Source organism: Homo sapiens, chromosome 12, assembly GCF_000001405.40.
Source record: "Homo sapiens chromosome 12, GRCh38.p14 Primary Assembly".
Lineage (NCBI taxonomy): Eukaryota > Metazoa > Chordata > Mammalia > Primates > Hominidae > Homo > Homo sapiens.
In genome coordinates, this window is record NC_000012.12 from 100,050,950 (window position 1) to 100,073,707 (window position 22,758).

Below are 22,758 nucleotides of genomic sequence, written 5' to 3' on the forward strand. Positions count from 1 at the left end.
CTGCAAATTGAATTGCCCACCATCTAAGAATTCATTTTATATATGAATGTCTCAAAATATATACATGTCAAATATGAAATAAAGTTGGTGGCATTTATCTTCATAGAATCTCTCTGAAATGATTATTACCAGGTCATCATGATTTTCCTGAGCACCCTCTGAATTTGTACTGATGGCATCTGGAGAAGTTTCACCATAATTCTGTAGGTTTGCACCAGCATTCACACTTTCTGCTGTGCCCCTGTAATTTGTAGTTGAGTTCTTTTTATTTCCTGAAATAACACAAAAGTAAATTAATAAATTAAAGTCAGTTTTACACATGATCTAACACTGTATGCTTATTTAACAAAAATGGACTATCCCTTCAACTCTTTCTCAAGCACTGCCTCCTTTAAAAAATGGACCAAGAAAAATTAGATTGTAATTAGTTAGCAAACAATGAATGTGCTATAATTCAATATTTCTCAAACTATCTGTGGTAAAAGACAATTTTTTTTAAAATTCAGTAGCCATCACAGATCAATACTTTTAAAAAATGCCATAAAAATGAATTAATAGAAAAATTAGGTAAGAAAACCTAAAGACATACAAAACATAAGTCTCAATTTATTATTGTATTTACTACTCTGTAGTCAGCTTCTAACATAGTGCTTGGCAATGTGGTAGGTGCTCAATACATTATTAAAAAAATGGCCCAGGGAAAATACCTGTGAATACATTTGTGGTATGAGGGGCTAATAAAGGCATTTCATAAGGGGTTCCTAACATCATCAGGGGTTAAGAAGACATCTCTGATAAAATAATATTTCCACTAAAGTGAACAAGCCTGGGTGTGGTGGCTCACGTCTGTAATCCCAGCACTTTGGAGAGAGGATCACTTGAGCCCAGAAGTTCAAGACCAGCCTGGGCAACACAGCAAAATCCCATCTCTACCAAAAATACAAAAAATTAGCCAGACGTAGTGGCACTCGCCTGTGGTCCCAGCTACTTGGGAGGCTGAGGCAGAGGACCACTTGAGCCTGGGAGGTAGAGACTGCGGTGAGCCAAGATCACACCATTGCATTGCACTCTAGGACAGAGTGAGACCCCATCTAAAAAAAAAAAAAGATTCCCTTTAAATTTTTTTTTTTTTTTAGATGGAGTCTCACTCTGTTGCCCAGGCTGGAGTGTAGTGGTGCGATCTTAGCTCACTGCACCCTCCACCTGCCTCAGCCTCTCGAGTATCTGGAATTACAGGAACACGCCACCACGCCTGGCTAATTTTTGTATTTTTAGTAAAGACGGGGTTTCACTATGTTAGCCAGGGTGGTCTCGAACTCCTGACCTCAAGTGATCTGCCTGCCTTGGCCTCCCATAGTGCTAGGATTACAGGCGTGAGCCACTGTGTCTGGCCCCCTCTAAACAAATTTTTTTAAAATTTACATGGAAAAGAATAATTGCAAGGAGAGCAAAAAGACACTCTGAAAAACACTGAGTGGATAAAATAATGAGTGGGAAAAATAAAGCGAAGAGTTATCCTTAACCACTCTAATTAAAATTAAAAATAATAAAATAAACAGAAAGAAAAAGAGCATTCCAGAAACAGGTACAACAGACTGAGATGGAAAAGTTTATCACAGTAAAGAAAGTGAGATAAAGACTGAAATAAACTATGATCCATCTGAAGTATAACGAGCACATGGGAAAACATCAGAAAAAGTAAGCTGGGGCCACATCACACAGAGCATTGTCAGTAATGTTAAGGATTTTAACTTAATAGCCTTAAAGCAATTACAAGTTATCAGCAGTACAGTGGAAAACAACATGATCAAATCTATGTTGTTGTTATTTTTTCTTTTCTGTTTTTTTTTTTTTTTTTTTTTAAGACAGAGTCTCGCTCTGTCACCCAGGCTGGAGTGCAGTGGTGCGATCTCTGCTCACTGCAGCCTCCGCCTCCCGGGTTCAAGCGATTCTCCTGCCTCAGCCTCCTGAGTAGCTGGGACTACAGGCGTGTGCCACTATGCCTGGCTAATTTTTTGTATTTTTAGTAGAGACGGGGTTTCACCATGTTAGCCAGGATGGTCTCCATCTCCTGACTTCGCGATCCACCCGCCTCGGCCTCCCAAAATGCTGGGATTACAGGTGTAAACCACTGCGCTCGGCCAAATTTGTGTTTTTTAAGAGTATTTTGCCTGGCCAGGCACAGTGGCTCACACCTATAATCCCAGCACTTTGGGAGGCTGAGGCGGGTGGATTATCTGAGGTCAGGAGTTCGAGACCAGCCTGGCCAACATGGTAAAACCCCATCTCGACTAAAAATACAAAAATTAGCCGGGTGTGGTGGCACGCATCTGTAATCCCAGCTATTCAGGAGGCTGAGGAGGCAGGAGAATCACTTGAACCCAGGAGGCGGAGGTTGCAGTGAGCTGAAATCACACCACCGCACTCCAACCTGGGCAACAGAGTGAGACTTGGTATCAAAAATATATATATTTTTTGGCTACAGAATAAAGAATGAACTGCAAATGGATAAGAAGAGATGTGGAAAGACTAGTTAGGGACCAGAGGTAGGCTGATAGTCCAGTTATGTGTTTATATGTGTTCATAAATATGTACATACATTCACAAATATGTATACATGCACGCATGCACATACATATCTTTTTGTATACACATACCTTTGTATGTATCTGACACACCCACACACGTATATAAAAATACATAGATAAAAGCCTGGAAGCATATACACCAAAAGTTGACGGTAGTTACTTCTGCAGTGGGGAATGATATCAAGGAGACAGTAAGGGTGATATGATACTAAGGTGATAACTTCAATTTTTACTCTAGGGATTTCCATATTATCTGGTTTATGGAAATGCCTAGAGTAAAAAATTGAAGATATCACATTAGTATCTCCCTTATTCTCCTTTTTAAATGAGAGAATACTCATATATTTCTTGTAAAATTAAAACAAAACAAAATACCAAGAGTCTCCTTCCAATGAAAATTAATGACCCTGACATAAAAATAAGTCACTGTTCAAAAGAACCAGGAATGTATATCATTAAAATGTTACACACAAAGTCTACACTTTTTAAGATCCTAAAAATAGTCTACTGCTGGAATCTATTCTAAGATAGTCATCAAAAATGCAGACAAAAATTTGTGAACAATAATATAATTATAGCACTTTTATAACTGATAAATTATAAACAATCTAAACATCCAACATCAGGGAAATCTTTAAAAGGCTATGGTACATTCTTATGACAATTTTATATAGGCTTAAAAATATTTTCAAAGGAGTTTAAATAATATTAGAGAATACTTACAGATGATAAAAAGTAGGTTACAAGCCAAATACATAATATGACAGCAAACATACATATATATGGGTACATACACAAATTCATAAAATAAATAACAGTTGATATATTGTGAATGTGAGACTTTTTGGTGATTTTATTCTCCAAATTGTGGTTGTATTTTCCAAGTTTTCCACATTGAGTGGTAGTCACTTTTACTTATTATTTAATTATTAGAAATAATAAAATCACTGATGCTTTCAGATTAAGTAGGGTTATCTGCCAGAAGAACATTGTTTTTGAAATATATTTTGATCATAGGACAAAAATCCTCTATTAAGGTAGGATTTTAAATCATAAAGGGGGCACGGGGGAACTAGAGTTATCTGCGAATCTAGAATAGATTTTCATGACACACATTAGTACCTCTTCTACATTTAAGTGATATGCTGGAAAGAAGATTGCTATGAATTATAACAGAGTTAGACAGAGAATTTTTGTTTATGTATGGTACACATTCCCCAAGTCTGGGGAGCTAGAATAGCTTAACGGCTTGTTAAAAACTTGGGCTCATCAGTCAGACTAGCTGACAACTCTGCCTCTTACTACTTCCTGGCTAAAACTTTTGGACTAGATACCTTATTTCTTTAAGCTTTAGTTTCTAAATCTATAGAAAAGTGATCAATAATAATAACCACCTCATATGATGGTCTTAAGGATTAGATAAATTAATGTGTTTTATAGCACTTGGCAACATGACTAAGGGTGGTTTAATAAATGTTTGCTATTGTTGTTATTAAATATCATCTATCATGTAAGGTAAACTGACTAGTGTCTCCCACCAAGATAAAGTAAACTGGAATCTAGTAGAGAGATTTTTCTCTGACTTATGTAAAGAGTAAATTTTTTTAAGAAGACGTGTTTGTGTCAGATAGAAGAGCTCAGACTTTGAAGTCTGACTAACTGGGTTCAAATGCTAAACTCTACTACTTACTAGCTGCATAACTTTGGGCAAGCTGCTTACCTCCCTAGGCTTTGTTTGCCTCACCTTTAAAATGAAGATAACAGTTCCTACCTCAATTTATTTGAAGATTAAATACATGTAAGACGCTTAAAATAGTAACTGGTATAGTAAATATTAGCTTAGAATAACAAACAAGAGGCCAGGCATGTTGGCTCATACCTGTAATCCCAGCATTTTGGGAGGCTGAGATGGGAGGATCACCTGAGGCCAGGAATTTGAGATCTGCCTGGCCATCATGGTGAAACCTCATCTCTACCAAAAATACAAAAATTAGCTAGGCGTGGTGGTGGGTGCCTGTAATCCCAGCTACTCGGGAGGCTGAGGCAGGATAATCAGTTGAACCCAGGAGGCAGAAGTTGCAGTGAGCCGAGATCATGTCATTACACTCCAGCCTGGGCAGCAAGAAAAAAACTACATCTCAAAAAAAAAAAAAAAAAAAGAATAACAAGAAAGACAATCCCAGTTCTGCGTACAATAATGTGACTATGGGAAAACTACTTAAACTTCAGGAGCCTCAGTTTCCTTATCTGTAAAAGAAGGATAAGAATAAGCACTTATACCTCACAGGGTTGAGGCAATCAGGTACATAGTAGACAATAGGCTCTATGTCTGAATTTAAACCACTAATTAGCTGTGTTACTTTGGATTCGTTATTTAACCACTCTCTGAAGATAACAGTATACTATTGACAGAATTGTGAGGTTTAAATTCATTAATATATATACAAAGCATATAGAATGGTACCAACACAAAGTAAATGCTCAATAAATGTTAGCTTCTATTATTACAGAGTTGTCACTCAAATTAAAAGAAGTAAACTATTTAAGCACCTGCAACAGTATGAATGCGTCCCTTTGAAATTCATGTGTTGGCAAAGTGATAGTACTAAGAGGTAGGGCTTTTAAAGGATGATCAGCCCATGAGAGCTTACCCCTACATGAATGGGATTAAGACCCTTAAAAAAGAGGCTTCAGGTAGCTTCTCTTGACCTCCAGAGGACTGCAAAATGCAACGCTTACAATTTGATGAGGTTTGATCTTGGACTTCCCAGCCTCCAGAACTGTGAGAAATAAATTTCTGTTCTTTATAAATTACCCAGTCTGTGGTATTCTGTGATAGAACAAAACAGACATTGCTTGGCAATAAATGGTAGCTACCACTATGGTACTTACATCAATAATACATATTATATTATTACTTATTATATACTTGTTATATTTATTATGTTACTAATTATCTAATCTAAGCTTTTCATCTAAATCAGTGGGCTTATTTCCTTTCAAACAGAAAGTAATTCAGGCCAGGCATGGTGGCTCATGCCTGTAATCCCAGCATTTTGGGACGCCGAGGTGCACGGATCATTCGAGGTCAGGAGTTTGAGACCAGCCTGGCCAACATGACGAAACCCCATCCCTAGTAAAAATACAAAAATTAGCCAGGCATGGTGGTGCATGCCTGCAATCCCAACTACTTGGGAGGCTGAGGCAGGAGAACTGCTTGAACCCGAAGGCAGAGGTTTCAGTAAGCTGAGATCACAATACTGCACTCCAGCCTGGGCGACAGAGTGAAAAAAAAAAAAGAAAGAAAGAAAAAAGAAAGTAATTCATATTTGCCTCTGGTATCCTATGTTTTTGTGTCTGCAGCAACTACTTTCTGACTATGGCCCATGCTTCTAATTCCTGTTTACAAACTCCTTAATGCCTTAATGAGGGAGATGCAACTAACACCTTCTAAGTCATTTCTAGCAGTCTTTACTGGGGCATTGGTTGTCTCTCAATAAAATGGGAAAATCATGTAGTTACACCATATACTATCATATATGTGAAAGAATCCTAATTTTGTAAATCAGTAGAATTCACCATGCAAATTAAGCCCACCTAATCAAATTTCCAAATATAGGAGTCTCTGTAATAGAGGCTGGTAGCCTTAATGTCGCCTGCTTTATGGTCTAAATGACTGCATACATATAATTGCTGGATCTCAGCCATAGAGAGGCAGGAGTATCTGGTTAAAAGAAACAATGGAACAACCATTAGAGGAAAGTTAGGTACTCTTGCATAGTCCCTGTATGTATAAATAAGTCTTTTTGGGGGGCTATAATGAACAATTAGAATATATCTAAAAATAACTAAATATTATTAATAATTAACAATTACTAAATATAAGTAGAAATATTCAGTTATTTTTAGTTATGTTCAGTAACTTTAAAAAGCATGGGTACAGTTAACAATTACTGAATATAACTAAAAGCATCCCTTTTCTCCTAAGGTGTATGTACGTAATATGAATTCTTAAGCCGTATCATAACTTTACCTTTTTCCAAAAACATATGGCTATCACTTCCATCACTTTCTAATAACTGTTCTTCCAATATCATGCTGTCAAGTGAAATGGTATCCAATGACATTTGTGAAGAGCTTCTTTTCATATTCTTATAAGAAACACAGAGAGGAGCCAGGTTGGGTGGGCAACGTTCCTTAGGCTTTCCACTGTTAACAAAATTATTAGAAAATTATTACATATAGAGAAAAGAATTCTATCTAAAAAATACTTCTAAGAGAATTAAAATATGTATATAGCATCCATAGCTGAAATTATATTTAAACGTATAAGCTCAAAGTGTTTTCATATTTTGAAACATCTACTCTTCTACATGTTAACAATGCCATATTTTGTCATGAGCTTTTCTGCCTCAAAACAAAATACACTCATAGGCACACACGCTCCACAAAATAAATTAATTTTTAAAAAGGCCAATAAAATGTTGTTACCTTAAAGATGACTGTGATTTAAGTGTTCTAACTGGGGGGGTCTCTTCTTTACTGATATCCAGGTTTTCAGAGAGTGAAGCTGCTTCTGGAAGCAAATCTTCAGCTTTAAAGATGGACTCTATGGTTTCATTTCCTTTACTAGTTAAAGTACTTGAAAGTATGTTTTGATTACCATCACTATCAAATGAAAGTATATTCGAATCTTCTCTGTAGTTTAAGATACTACTTGAATCTGTATAAAATGAATCCTTTTTGTCACTTGTTTCTGATCCAATTTCTCCTGAGCCACTTTTGTAAACAAGTCCACTACTTTCATCTTCACTTATTTTCCCTAAATGTTTATCTGATAAATAGTCCATAAAAGAAATGCCTTTTTGCAGATTTGTATCACTAGCTGATTTAAAAAGCAAAGGATCCTTTAAAGGGATATGGCTAAGGTCAACACTCATAGATCTGTTGTCTGACATATGATTAACAGTTACACTTCTAATTCTATTTATATCCCTACTAATTTGTTTTCTTTTTGAAGACAAAAAATCCCCATTTTCTGTAGGCAAATAATCAGGTACCACTGGGCTCACACTTTCAGAAACAGGAGACTTAAGAGTATTTGCTTGATCCACTGGATGGAGCAAAAGAGCCAGTTCTGCACTTCTAAGTAAAATTCCAATACAAATGGATGTCTGACTAGCAGGACTGCCAGTTACAGCTTCTACATCTTTCCTTAAGTTCTCTGAAAGCAGGATAAGTGACTCATGCAGGAAAAGTAGAAGCAGATACTGGTAGTGATTAATCTGCATACTGACATGTTTATGAACATGAACTAGGAGATGAATATCTGCCTCTGACGAGGAAGGGGAAAATCTGAAAAATGTATCTGATGAAGAAGGCTTCTGACCACCATTTGTCAAAGGCTCAGACTCTGTACTATAATACTCCTTCAAGAGCTTCTTCCGCTTCAATCGGCCAGCCAGATCACTAGATTCACTTTGTGATGTATTTAGAGATACCTGATTACAAGTCTGCGGCTCTTTTTGTGACTCTGCATATCTTGTTGGTTGACAAATCCAAATGGAAAGAGGGAATGAGTCTACAAAACTTATTGGCCGTCCTTTTCCACTTTTCATCCCTTCATAATCTATCCAAAATTGAGAAAAGTACACAGCCCAAACATCCGTGGCAGCAGAAGTTTTAAGAGTGTTTTTATTCAATTGGGGAGTAATATTTCCTTTATAAATTTCATGCATTTTGGTATCTTGTTCATGAGCATGTCTCTGGAAAATTGGATGTAGAAGATTAAAATTGTCACAAGATTTGGGGAAGCTGGTATATGTTTTACTAAAAAAATCACAATCTTTAAAGTCTTGAAACAAAGCTTCTAGGTCAGAATGTCGACAGTTTGGACAGTGCCTTGTATTTGTGGCAATCATTTCAGAACTCTGAATAGAAATTGCACGTGGCTGATCTTGATGACATTCAGATTTCACTTCAGAAGGAATGACAAACTAGAAGAGAAGAAAAATTAATCTCATCCAACTGGCAAATCCATACATCTTGAAGATAAAAGAACATGACTTAGCTCAGAAATTCTTTTTCTTGACCTTTCCCCCAAAATACTACTTTCCTATTAAGACGTAAAACACTAACTCTTCCCCTCAAATCTTATTAAATTGAGTAAAGGGGACTTACATGACCACTAAGAAGAGAATCTTTTTAAAAAACATAACATGAATTAATAATCAATGTAACATACATATACGCACAAATCATAAAATAAAAAGAACAAAATTAAATCATTACTACTACTTGTTTGTATGATACCTTTAGCATTAAGCCATCAACTCGAACATCAACATGCTCGTCAGATTTTGAATTGTCATTCAACTTGTACACAGCCATGAACTGATTAAGACTCTGTTTTAAATCCAACAGAAATTGATTTAACCATAGAATGCTTCTTTCATCCACAGTAAACTGTAGTGCATTCAGCTGGCTATAGAGGTTGGGAGATGGAACTGTGGAGACAAGATGTTTTTTAAAAATTTTTAATTGGATGGTTCTAAATCTTCCCTGAGAACAAAAAATACATGTTTAGTCAGTTTTATTCTTTCTTAAGATAAAACAAATTTGAGGTATTATTTACAAAATCAAAGTGATACATTGGAATGATAACAAACACATTTAGATAGACAAAAAAAATTTCCCATGCCTAACTGAAAAAATGTTTTAATATTTCAAAATATCTATAACATATAAATATATAAAACACATGAATATTTTGAATATATAAATTAATCTAAAACTAACTGCATAAAACAGGAAGCACTGTTTCAATTTCTTTCCTAAGGTTGTATTTACCAAGAAGCAAACCTCTAAAAACATTACCTTCTTGATGAAGTATCACATCAAAGTGGTCCTCGATCACATATTTCTGTAGACTTTACAACCTGAATCTTAATCTATATCTTCTAAAATGAGAGAGCTAAGTTAACCAATTTCTTATGAAAGTGCTATGCTAGCAGGTTCTCCTTGAAAGGAGGGACCGTGCATAAATTTATTCCCCACTTTTAATCAAGGCCTATAATAGTGCTTGGAGTAATGTAAAAACCAAGTATCTCCTGAATAATAAAATGAATTCACTCTTTCATAGCTCTCCTAAAATAAACTAATATTTACAATTAGAGGGTATATCACTTCCTGAAATATACATATTTTTCTACCATAAAAGACATTTTGTTTTCAGAGCACCTTGAAGATCTTTTATTCTAAAAATTCAGACATATTTATTCCTACAAAAGCTAAAGTTATGCATATCTAGAGCATTTAGACTAAATTTAAGAAAAATAAATCAAAGGTGTGAGATACCAGTGGAGAGGGAACACTGTAACAATGTCCTGAATATGGTTTATTTGCTTATGTTATTTATTTATTCATTCACTTTCCTTTAAGATTCACTGAATGTCAACTACATTGTCTTACCCTAAGCACAAAGAAAACAAAAAAATAGGGCATGGTCCTTTTTCCTTAAAAGTTCGTAGTTTATTACATGAGACATATACAAACAGAGAAAAATTACAATTTAAGTCTATCAGAGACATGCAATTGTGAAGTGGAGGTGCCTGCCTTTTGGGAATAGAAATAAAGTGGGTGCTGCAGAGACTGCATCACACTCTGGAAGGAAAGGAAGTAAAGGGAATATCTCAACGTAGATTGATTGATGATGGTAGTCACAGAGTAGACTAGGGAGCAAATGCTGCCCAAGACTAGAGCACAGAAAGAACCCCGATAGCAGATGTGGGACTGAAAAAGGAACCCAGGACACTAAGCAGTAGAAAGATCTATATGCAGGGCCGGCGCGGTGGCTCACGCCTGTAATCCCAGCACTTTGGGAGGCCGAGGCGGGTGGATCACGAGGTCAGGAGATCGAGACCATCCTGGCTAACACAGTGAAACCCCGTCTCTACTAAAAATGCAAAAAATTAGCCGGGCGTGGTGGCGGGCGCCTGTAGTCCCAGCTACTGGGAAGGCTGAGGCAGGAGAATGGTGTGAACCTGGGAGGTGGAGCTTGCAGTGAGCCGAGATCGCGCCACTGCACTCCAGCCTGGATGACAGAGCGAGACTCCGTCTCAAAAAAAAAAAAAAAAAAAAGAAAGATCTATATGCAGTTTCCAACAGAAGTCTACTTATAAAACAGATTAGTATGTAGTTAATAATACTTAAAAGCAGCTTGTAGAAACTTTGAATATTCTGATATCACGAAGGGAAAGAAGCAGGGTGCAAATTAAATATGTAAAAGAAATACATGCATTAAAAACAAGACTAACAATGCTATACTTATTGCTATGGGTTGAATTGTGTCCCTCCAAAATTCATTTACTGAAATTCTATCCCCCTGTAGCTCAGAATGTATTTGGAGCTAAAGCCTTTAAACAGACAATTACGGTAAAATGAGTTCACTGGGTGGGCCCTAGTCCATTATGACTCATATTCTTATAAGAACCGAACAGGAGGGACATACACACATACACAGAAGGAAGACCATGTGAAAACAAAGGGGAAAGATGACCATCTACAAAGAGAGCAGTCTCAGAAGAAATAATCCTGCTGAAGTCTTCATCTCGGACCTCTAGCCTCAGAACTGTGAGACAATAAATTTCTGTTGTTTAAGCTGCATAGTCTGTGGTATTTGTTATAGCAGCCCTAACAAATGAATATACTTACGTTTGAGCAGATATCTAAAACTGCAAGCGTACAAGCATTGTTTTGGCTTTTTCTTCTTTATTGTTAAAATACAATGTGTACGTTACTTTCACAATGGTAAAACGAAAGTTAAGAGATTATAAAAGTTGGATCATTTAGTTTTGTTCAAAACAGAGATAATGAAGAATGAAAATTAACTCATCTACATGAGGGTGCAACATACTATATTCTCTACTTTTGTTTATTTTTGAAAATTTCTCTAAGAAAACATTAAATTAAAAAACAGTTAAACTTAATCTAGCAATTCCACTACCAGGTATCTACAGGGGTCAAGTTTAAAATGCAAGGAAGGAATTTTGTAACTTTTTTCAGAAAAAAAAGTACAGATTATAGAATGAGATTATAATTCCTTTGGTACATGCTAACAAAGCTTGTATAAATAAGCCTGGATGGCTGGGAGTGTTGTCTCATGTCTGTAATCCCAGCGCTTTGGGAGGCCAAAGTGGGAGGATGGCTTGAGCCCAGGAGTTTGAGACTAGCCCAGGCAACAGAGTGAGATCTTGTATCTACAAAAAATTTAAAATTAGCTGGACATGATGGCTCATGCCTATAATCCTAGCTACTAGCGAGGCTGAGGTGGGAAGGTCACTTGAGTCCAGGAGTTTGAGACGGCAGTGAGCCACGATTGTGCCACAGTACTCCAGCCCAGGCACAGAGTGAGGCTGTCTCAAAAAAAAAGAAAAGAATTTAAAAAAAAAAAACAGCTTAGAAGTCATAAATACTGGAAACTACTCTTAACTCTGAAGAAAAATTACTTGTTCAGGGACAAGGTGGCAGGCGGGAGGCAGGACTAGTTTGCAGCTCCGACTCGGATGGACGTAGCAGTGTGTGGAGGCTCACATAGTGAATTTTTGCTCCAGAATCACTACAGGAATAAATCAGGAAAACTGGGAGGACCCGTAGACCCTCTGAAAGAAGCAGATTGCTCCTGCAGGACCTGAGAGACAACCCAAATACTGTGCTGGTACTCACAGCTGAGCCACAGATGGTTCACATCACAGAACTCTGTGCAGACAACCCCCAGTACCAGCCCAGAGCCTGGTAGACTTGCTGGGTGGCTAGATCCAGAAGAGAGATAACAATCACCACAGCCTGGCTCTCAGAATCCACACCCACAGGAAGAAAGGGAGAATACCGGCCAGGCACAGTGGCTCACGCCTGTAATCCCAGCACTTTGGGAGGTCAAGGTGGGTGGATCACCTGAGGTCGGGAGTTCAAGACCAGCCTGACCAACACAGAGAAACCCTGTCTCTACTAAAAATACAAAGTTAGCCTGGTGTGGTGGCAGGTGCCTGTAATCCCAACTACTCGGGAGGCTGAGGCGGGAGAATCACTTGAGCCCAGGAGACGAAGGTTGCGGTAAGCCTAGATTGTGCCATTGCACTCCAGCCTGGGCAACAAGAGTGAACTCCGTCTCAAAAAAAAAAAAAAAAGGAAAAGAAAAAAAGGGAGAATACCACTCCGAGGGAACATGCCATGGGACAAAAGAATCTGAACAACAGCCTTCAGTACTAGACATTACCTCTGAGAGAGCCTACCCAAATGAGAAAGAACCAGAAAAACAACTCTGGTAATATGACAAGACAAGGTTCTTTAACACCTCCAACAAATCACAACAGCTCACCAGCAATGGACCCAAACCAAGAAGAAATCCCTGATTTACTTGAAAAAGAATTCAGGAGGTTAGTTATTAGGCTAATCAGGGAGGCACCAGAAAAAGGCAAAGCCCAATGTAAGGAAATCCAAAAAATGATACAAGAAGTGAAAGAAGAAATATTCAAGGAAATAGCATAAATAAAAACCAATCAAAACTTCAGGAATAAATAGACACACTCATAGAAATGCGAAATGCTATAGAAAGTCTCAGCAATAGAATTGAACAAGTAGAGGAAACAAATTCAGAGCTCGAAGACAAGGTCTTTGAATTAACCCAATCCGACAAAGACAAAGAAAAAAAGAATAAGAAAACATGAACAAAGCCTCCAAGAAGTCTGGGATTATGTTAAACAACCAAACCTAAGAATAATTGGTGTTCCTAAGGAGGAAGAGAAATCTAAAAGTTTAGAAAACATATTTGGGGGAATAATTGAGGAAAACTTCCCTGACCTTGCTACAGACCTAGACATCCAAACACAAGAAGCACAAAGAACACCTGGGAAATTCATCACAAAAAGATGATTGCCTAGGCTCATTGTCATCAGGTTATCTAAAGTTAAGATGAAGGAAAGACTCTTAAGAGCTGTGAGACAGAAGCACCAGGTAACCTGTAAGGGAAAATCTATCAGATTAATAGCAGGTTTCTCAGCAGAAACCCTAGAAACTAGAAGGGATTCCAGCCCTATCTTCAGCTTCCTCAAACAAAACAATTATCAGCCAAGAATTCTTTATCTAGTGAAACTAAGCTTCACATGTCAAGTAAAGATACAGTGTTTTTCAGAAAAACAAATGCTGAGACAATTTACCACTATCAAGCCACCACTACGAGAACTGCTAAAACGAGCTCAAAATCTTGAAACAAATCCTGGAAACACAACAGAACCTCTTTAAAGCATAAATTTCAGAGATCTATAAAACAAAAATTAAAAAAAAAATTAAAAAATTAACAATTAAAAAAAAAAAACAAGGTATACAAGCAACGAATAGCATGATGAATGGAATGGTACCTCACGTCTCAATACTAACATTGAATGTAAGTGGCCTAAATGCTCCACTTAGAAAATACAGAACTGCAAAACAGATAAGAATTCACCTGTTGTGGGAAGTCAGGGACCCTGAACAGAGGGACCAGCTGGAGCCACAGCAGAGGAGTATAAATTGTGAAGATTTCATGGACATTTATCACTTCCCTAATAATATTCTTATAATTTTTTATGCCTGTCTTACTTTAATCTCTTAATCCTGTTATCTTCGTAAATTGAGGATGTATATCACCTCAGGTCCACTGTGATGAATGCGTTAACTATACAAATTGATTGAAAAACGTGTGTTTGAACAATATGAAATCAGTGCACCTTGAAAAAAAAAAACAGAATAACAGCGATTTTCAGGGAACAAGGGAAGACAACCATAAGGTCTGACTGCCTGCGGGGTTGAGCAGAACAGAGCCATATTTTGCTTCTTGCAGAGAGCCTATAAACGGACGTGCAAGTAGTGAAGATATCGCTAAATTCTTTTCCTAGCAAGGAATATTAATAATTAAGACCCTGGGAAAGGAATTGCATTCCTGGGGGGAGGTCTATAAATGGCCTCTCTGGAAGTGTCTGTCTTATGCGGTTGAGATAAGGACTGAAATATGCCCTGGTCTCCTGCAGTACCCTCAGGCTTATGAGGGTTGGGAAAAGACCACTCCCCAGTAAATTTGAGGTCAGACCAGTGATCTGATCTTGAACCCTGTTTTCTGTTGTTTAAGATGTTTATCAAGACAATACATGCACAGCTGAACATAGACCCTTATTAGGAGTTTTTGATTTTGCCCTTTGCCTTGTGATCTTTGCTTTACCCTTTGCCTTGTGATCTTTATTGGCCTCAAAAGCATGTGATCTTTGTTCTCCTTTTTGCCCTTTGAAGCATGTCATCTTTGTGACCTACTCCCTGTTCATACACCCCCTCCCCTTTTGAAGTCCTTAATAAAAACCTGCTGGTTTTGCGGCTCAGGTGGGCATCACGGTCCTACCACCATGTGATGTCACCCCCTGGCGGCCCAGCTGTAAAATTCCTCTCTTTGTACTCTTTCTCTTTATTTCTCAGATTGGCCGACACTTAGGGAAAACAGAAAGAACCTACATTGAAATACTGGGGACAGGTTCCCCCAATATTCACCAACCATCTGCTGCCTTCAAGAGACTCACCTAACAAATAAGGACTCACACAAACTTAAGGTAAAGGGGTGGAAAAAGACATTTCATGCAAATGGACATTAAAAGCAAGCAGGAGTAGCTATTCTTGTATCAGACAAACCTTAAAGGAACAGCAGTTAAAAAAGACAAAGAGGGACATTATACAATGATAAAAGGCCTTGTGCAACAGTAAACTATCACAATCCGAAACATACATGCACCTAACACTGGAGTTCCCAAATTTATAAAACAATTACTAATAGGCCTAAGAAATGAGATAGATAGCAACACAATAATAGTGGGGGATTTCAATACTCAACTGACAGCACTAGACAGGTCATCAAGACAGAAAGTCAACAAAGAAACAATGGATTTAAACTATACTCCGGCCGGGCGTGGTAGCTCATGCCTATAATCCCAGCACTTTGGGAGGCCAAGGCAGCCAGATCACAAGGTCAGGAGATTGAGACCATCCTGGCTAACACGGTGAAACCCTGTCTCTACTAAAAAAAAAAAAAAAATACAAAAAATTAGCCAGGCAGGGTGGCAGGCACCTGTAGTCCCAGCTACTCTGGAGGCTGAAGCAGGAGAATGGCGTGAACCCAGGAGGCAGAGCTTGCAGTGAGCCGAGATCACACCACTGCACTCCAGCCTAGGCGACAGAGCAAGACTCCATCTCAAAAAAAAAAAAACTATACTCTGGAACAAATGGACTTAACAGATACTTACAGAACATTCCATTCAACAACTGCAGAATATACATTCTATTCAACAGAGCATGGAACTTTCTCCAAGAGACAGACCATATGATAGGCCACAAAAAAAGCCTCAATAAATTTAAGAAAGTTGAAATTATATCAAGCACTCTCTCAGATGACAATGGAATAAAACTGGAAATCTACTTCAAAGGAACCTTCAAAACCATGCAAATACCTGGAAATTAAATAACCTGCTCCTGAATGATCACTGGGTCAAAAATGAAATCAAGATGGAAATTAAAAAATTCTTCGAACTGAACAACTATAGTGACAAAACCTATCAAAACCTTTGGGACACAGCAAAGGTGGTGCTGAGAGGAAAGTTCATAGTTCTAAATGCCTACATCAAAAAGTCTGAAACAGCACAAACAGACAACCTAAGGTCACACCTCAAGGAACTAGAGAAACAAGAACAAACCAAACCCAAACCCAGCAGAAGAAAGGCAATGACCAATATCAGAGAAGAACTAAATGAAACTGAAACAAACAAAAACAATACAAAAGACAAATTAAACAAAAAGCTGTTTCTTTGAAAAGATAAATAAAATTGATAGACCACTGGCAAGATTAACCAAGAAGAGAAAAAATCCAAATAAGTTCAGTAAGAAACAAAACAGGAGATACTACAACTGACACCACAGAAATACAAAAGGTCATTCAAGGCAACTATGAACATCTTTATGTGCATATACTAGAAAACCTACAAGAGATGGAAGAATTCCTGGAAAAATACAACCCTCCTAGCTTAAATCAGGAAGAATTAGATAGTCTGAACAGACCAATAACAAGCAGCCAAACTGAAATGATAATTTAAAAATTACCAACAAAAAAAAGTCCAGGACCAGCTAAAAAAAAACACAAAACTTAGGAATATACCTAACCAAGGAAGTAAAAGACCTCTACAAGGAAAACTACAAAACACTGCATTAATGTTAGTTACAAAACACTGCTGAAAGAAGTCATAGACGACACAAACGAATGGAAACACATCCCAATGCTCATTGATGGGTGGAATCAATATTGGGAAAATGGCCATACTGCCAAAAGCAATTTACAAATTCAATGCAATTCCCATCAAAATACCACCATCATTCTTCACAGAACTAGAAAAAAAATTCAAAATCTCATATGGAACCAAAAAAGAGTCTGCATGGCCAAAGCAAGACTAAGCAAAAAGAACAAAACTGGAGGCATCATATTACCTGATTTCAAACTATACTATAAGGCCATACTCATCAGAACAGCATGGTACTGTATAAAAATAGGCACACAGACCAATGGAACAGAATAGAGAATCCAGAAGTAAACCCAAATACTTACAGCTAACTGATCTTCAACAAGGCAAACAAAAACATAAAGTGGGGAAAGGACACACTTTTCAACAAATGGTGCTGGGATAACTGGCTAACCATATGTGGGAGAATGAAACTGGATCTTCTTCTCTCACTTTACACAAAAATCAACTCAAGATGGATTAAGGACTTAAATCTAAGCCCTGAAACTATAAAAATTCTAGAAGATAACATTGGAAAGACTCTTCTACACATTGGCTTACACGAGGATTTCATGACCAAGAACCTAAAGGGGAATGTAATAAAAGTAAAGATAAATTGCTGACACTTAATTAAACAGCTTTGCACAGCAAAAGGAACAGTTAGAAGAGTAAACAGACAACCCACAAAGTGGGAAAAACTCTTCACAATCTATATACATCTGACAAAGGACTAATATCCAGAAGCTACAATGAACTCAAATCAACAAGAAAAAAACAAACAATCCCACCAAAAAGGGATTGATGGCTGAGACAATGAGTAGACAGTTCTCAAAAGAACATATACAAATGGCCAACAAACATAGAAAAAAATGCTCAACATCACTAATGATCAGGGAAATGCAAATCAAAACCACAATGCGATATCACCATTCTCACTTCAAGAAAGGCCATAATCAAAAAATAGTACATGTTGGCATTGATGCAGTGAACAGAGAATACTTCCACACCGCTGGTGGGAATATAAACTAGTACAACCACTATGGAAAACAGTGTGGAGATTCCTTAAAGAGCTAAAAGTAGGCAGAGCATGGTGGCTCCCGCCTGTCATCCCAGCACTTTAGGAGGCTGACGCGGGCAGATCACAAGGTCAGGAGTTCAAGATCAGCCTGGTTAACATGTTAAAATTTTGTAAAAATACAAAAATTAGCTAGATGCAGTGGTGCTACTCAGGAGGCTGAGGGAGGGGAATCGCTTGAACCCAGGAAGTGGAGGTTACAGTGAGCCTAGATCGTGCTGCTGCACTCCAGCCTGGGCAACAGAGTAAGACTCCATCTCAAAAAACAAAAAAGGCACTAAAAGTAGAACTACCATTTGATCCAGCAATCCCACTACTTGGTATCCACCCAGAGGAAAAGAAGTCATTATATGAAAAAGATACTTGCACACACGTTTATAGCAGCAAAACTCGCAATTACAAAACGTGGAACCAACCCAAATGCCCAGCAATCAATGAAAGGATAAAGAAACTGTGGTGGGTGGGGGTGTTTGTGTGTGTGTATGTATATACATACATATATGTGCGTGTGTATATATATGTATATACATACATGTGTGTATGTGTGTATATATATGATGGAATACTACTCAGCCATAAAAAGGAATGAATTAATGGCATTTGCAGCAACCTGGATGAGACTGGAGACTATTATTCTAAGTGAAGTAACTCAGAAACAGAAAACTAAACATCGTATGTTCTTCCTCATAACTGGGAGCTAAGCTATGAGAATGCAAAAGCATAAGAATGATACAATGGACTTTGAGGACTCAGGGGGAAAGGGTGGGAAGGGGGTGAGGGATAAAAGACTACAAATAGGGTACAGTGTATACTGCTCCAGTGATGGGTGCAGCAAAATCTCACAAATCACCACTAAACAACTTACTTATGTAACAAAACACCACCTTTTCCCCAATAACCTATGGAAATAAAAAATTTTTTTAAATAAAAATAAAATAGAATAAAATTTTTAAAAATTACTTGTTCAATGATATATTTTATTTAAGAAAAACAATTATGGGGGCATGGCTGGAATACTATGATTATGCAATAACAGACAATGGCCGTGGTGAATACAGGGGCAAAGGGGAGCAGTGTAATACAGTGGAGAAAAAACAATGAATTTAGATTTACAAGACAATGCTTGAGTTTCAACTGTGCCATTTTACTCCCTATGAGATGCAGAGCAGATGTCTTCCTTCATCTATCTTGAGTTTTCTCATCTGCTTAGGAAGGCAGCTGAGAGAAACAAATGAGAAACACACACAGATAAACAAAACAAAACAAAAAACCACAAAAGATTGTTGAAACATGAAGATAGGATTAAATGCCAGAAGGTTTTTTATTTTTAATTAATTAATTTTTTTTTTTTTGAGACGGAGTTTCGCTCTTGTTGCCCAGGCTGGAGTGCAATGGCATGATCCCAGCTCACCACAACCTCTGCCTCCCAGGTTCAAGCGAACAGATTACAGGCAGGTGCCACCACGCACGGCTAATTTGGCATTTTTAGTAGACGGGGTTTTACTACATTGGTTAAGCTGGTCTTGAACTCCTGACCTCAGGTGATCCACCCGCCTCAGCCTCCTAAAGTGCTGGGATTACAGGCATGAGCCACTGCACCTGGCCAATGCCAGAAGTTTAACCCAAACTAGGAATAAAGCAATAAAACAGATAGACAGCCTTGTAATTCCCAGGATGCCATCTCTTAATTTAGCAACAAAGGCAAAATCTATGGTATAAGGATCAGAAGTTCCTTTTGAAACTAAAAACATATATTAATAGGGTGGGTGCGGTGGCTCATGCCTGTAATCTCAGCACTTTGGGAAGCCAAGGAGGTCAGATCATTTGAGGCCTAGAGCTCAAGACCAGCTTGGCCAACAAGGAGAAAAGAAACCTCACCTCTACTAAAAAAAAAATTAACAAAAATCAGCCAGATGTGGTGGTGCATGCCTGTAGTCCCAGCTACTCAGGAGAATCACTTGAACCTGGTAGGCAGAGGTTGCAGTGAGCTGAGATCGCACCACTGCATGCCAGTCTGGGCAACAGAGCAAGAATCTGTCTCAGAAAAAAAAACAACATATATTAATAAATCAATATTAAATAAATGGGCAAGTAGGTCTAAGTATTTTGGAGTTCTACTTTTAAAGAAAGGACATAAAACTTGTTATGCCTCTGATAACAAAACCTATTTCATCTAAATATTTTCAACTATGATTTTCAGCTAGCATGATGAAAAAGGTATCACAGAAAAGAGGGCAACATTTAGTTTAAGAATTCCGAGATGGGCCAGGTGCAGTGGCTCACACCTGTAATCCCAGCACTTCGGGAGGCTGAGGTAGGCAGACCACTTGAGGCCAGGAGTTAGAGACCAGCCTGGCCAACATGACAAAACCCTATCTCTATCAAAAACACAAAAATTAGCCGGGAGTGTTGGCACACACATGTAGTCCCAGCTACTCGGAAGCCTGGGGCACAAGAATTGTTTGGGCCCGGGAGGCAGAGGTTCCAGTGAGCCAAGATCACGCCACCGCACTCCAGCCTGGGTGACAGAGCAAGACTATGTCTCCAAAAAAAAAAAAAAAAAAAAAGGAATTTCTAGATGAACTGAGACAATAGCAGAGAGTTTTAATATTCAAAGAATACAAATGTACAATCATTTTAATGTTAGGAAGCTAAAGAGTTTTAATATTCAAAGAATACAAATGTACAATCATTTTAACGTTAGAAAGCCAAAGAAGCTTCTAAAAATAAAAATTCATGTAATTCAATATTTCTGAAAATTGTAAATGCTAAAAGTTGCCCAAAGTATACATTTAGGCATTTTAAAACAGTCAAAAAAATTCTCTACAGCTAAAAGGACAACTTCAGTTACTTTTTCAATAATATATAAATGAAGTTATATAGCTGACATATAAATGGAGTTTTACTAAGGGGAAACAAATGACTTTATTCTACAAATAACCTAGCTTTCATTGATTCTTTAACAAACAGCTATTAAGCACAAAGTAAGTTGAATATCTGGAATAAAATGAACATAAATACCAGATGTGCTGGACATGGCGGCTCATGCCTATAATCCCAGCACTATGGGAGTCCAAGGTGGGCAGATCACTTGAGGTCAGGAGTTCAAGATCAGCCTGGCCAACATGGTGAAACCCTGTCTCTAGTAAAACACAGAAAAATTAGCTGGGCCTGGTGGTGCATGCCTGTAATCCCAGCTACTCAGGAGGCTGAGGCACAAGAATCGCTTGAACCTGGGAGGCCAAGGCTGCAGTGAGCCGAGATCGTGCCACTGCACTCCAGCCTGGGCAACAGAGCGAGACTCTGCCTTGAAAAAAAAACAAAAAACAAAAAACGAAAAAACCTCATGATTCCTGCCATCAAGGATTCTACAAGCTAGGGAGGGAAAAGGATACATAAACAAATAATAACAACATCTAAAACTGTTAGACTAGACTTATGCACTATACACAATAAGAATAAAGAACAATAGGGGCTGGGCACAGTGGTTCATGCCTGCAATCCCAACACTTTGGGAGGCCAAGGCAGGAGTATGGCTTGAGCCTAGGAGTTTGAGATCAGCCTGGGCAACACAGTGAGATGCTAGCTCTCAAAAAACTAATAATAAATAAGGAACAATACAGTTTTATTTATTTTTCATATTTATAAAACTCAAAAATATTAACAAGAAAAAAATACTTTCTCAAATAATGGACAAATAATAATTAAAAACTCTCTTACTTGGAAAATCCTTTCCATCTGGATAGTAATATTCTGTGAATTCTATATAGACAGCTGACATTTCTTGTGGAAGATATAGGGATTTTTTATTGCAGCAAATCATGCTTTTGGGGGAAGAACGACATTGTTCCGCTGTAGAGACCTGAAAAGATAAATAAGTTTACTGAAATCACACTGAATAAAAACCTTTCCAAATAATTTATGCAACCCAGACAGTACTTTTAAAACTACTTACAAAACTTTGCTAATGGTTAATTTCCAGTGTAAACTTTATTATATATTTAACTTCACATGGAATTATTTTTAAACACCCATCAACTATTCAGAAAACTCTATAATCTTTTTGGATCCTTATCAATCACAAAATCAACACTGTACAATATTCCTTACAAACTTATTATTGTGAGCCTTAAAAACAACAGAAAAATGATAACGATATTCTATCAGATAATATAGATAAGTAAATGGCAGTCAGGACATAGATCCAAGTCCTCAAATCCAGAATGCTTCCCCGTACGCTGTTTAAAATAATCTTTACCATAATCTCTCCATTACCATGAAAAGTAACAGAGCTATATACAGTTTCTGCTTGAGATAATAAAAATTCTGGAGACAAATAATGGTACTGGTTACACAACAACGTGAATGTGCTTAACGACAATTATTATATAATATATAGATACAGACACAGATTTTTTTTTTTTTTTTGGTAGAGACGGGGTTTCGCCATGTTGGCCAGGCTGGTCTCAAACTCCTGACCTCAAGCAATCCACCCACCTCAGCCTCCCAAAGTGCTGGGATTACAGGCGTGAGCCACTGCACCTAGCCGATATTATTAGGTTGGTGCAAAAGTAATTGCAGTTTTGCCATTACTTTCAATGGCAAAAACCTAAATATGTATATGTGTGTGTATATATATATAATTATTATTGTAAATTCAGTCATACCTTACCACAATAAAAAATTAATTTAAAAATAATAGCTATAAACACTTCCGTCAAATAGTTTGATCGCTCGAATTCATTTTCCAAAAAGA

The 22,758-nt window shown here is 37.6% G+C and overlaps 1 protein-coding gene across 8 annotated transcripts in view; it reads right to left on the bottom strand.

The window, feature by feature from the left end:
* The window catches only part of BLTP3B (bridge-like lipid transfer protein family member 3B), a 105,803-nt gene that overhangs the window by 13,878 nt on the left and 69,167 nt on the right, over positions 1 to 22,758 (bottom strand). For 5 of the 8 annotated variants that reach the window (XM_005268739.5, NM_015054.2, XM_047428554.1 and 2 more), the window contains 5 exons: positions 21,723 to 21,864; positions 8,901 to 9,094; positions 7,080 to 8,584; positions 6,622 to 6,797; positions 130 to 272 (listed from right to left, as the gene is read on the bottom strand). In XM_005268739.5, coding sequence (XP_005268796.1) covers positions 130 to 272; positions 6,622 to 6,797; positions 7,080 to 8,584; positions 8,901 to 9,094; positions 21,723 to 21,864 — 2,160 coding nt within the window. Of the gene's footprint in view, positions 1 to 129; positions 273 to 6,184; positions 6,313 to 6,621; positions 6,798 to 7,079; positions 8,585 to 8,900; positions 9,095 to 18,958; positions 19,221 to 21,722; positions 21,865 to 22,758 lie in introns of those variants that run through there. The other 3 variants (XR_007063059.1, XM_017019049.2, NM_001006947.2) reach the window with 3 other exon arrangements.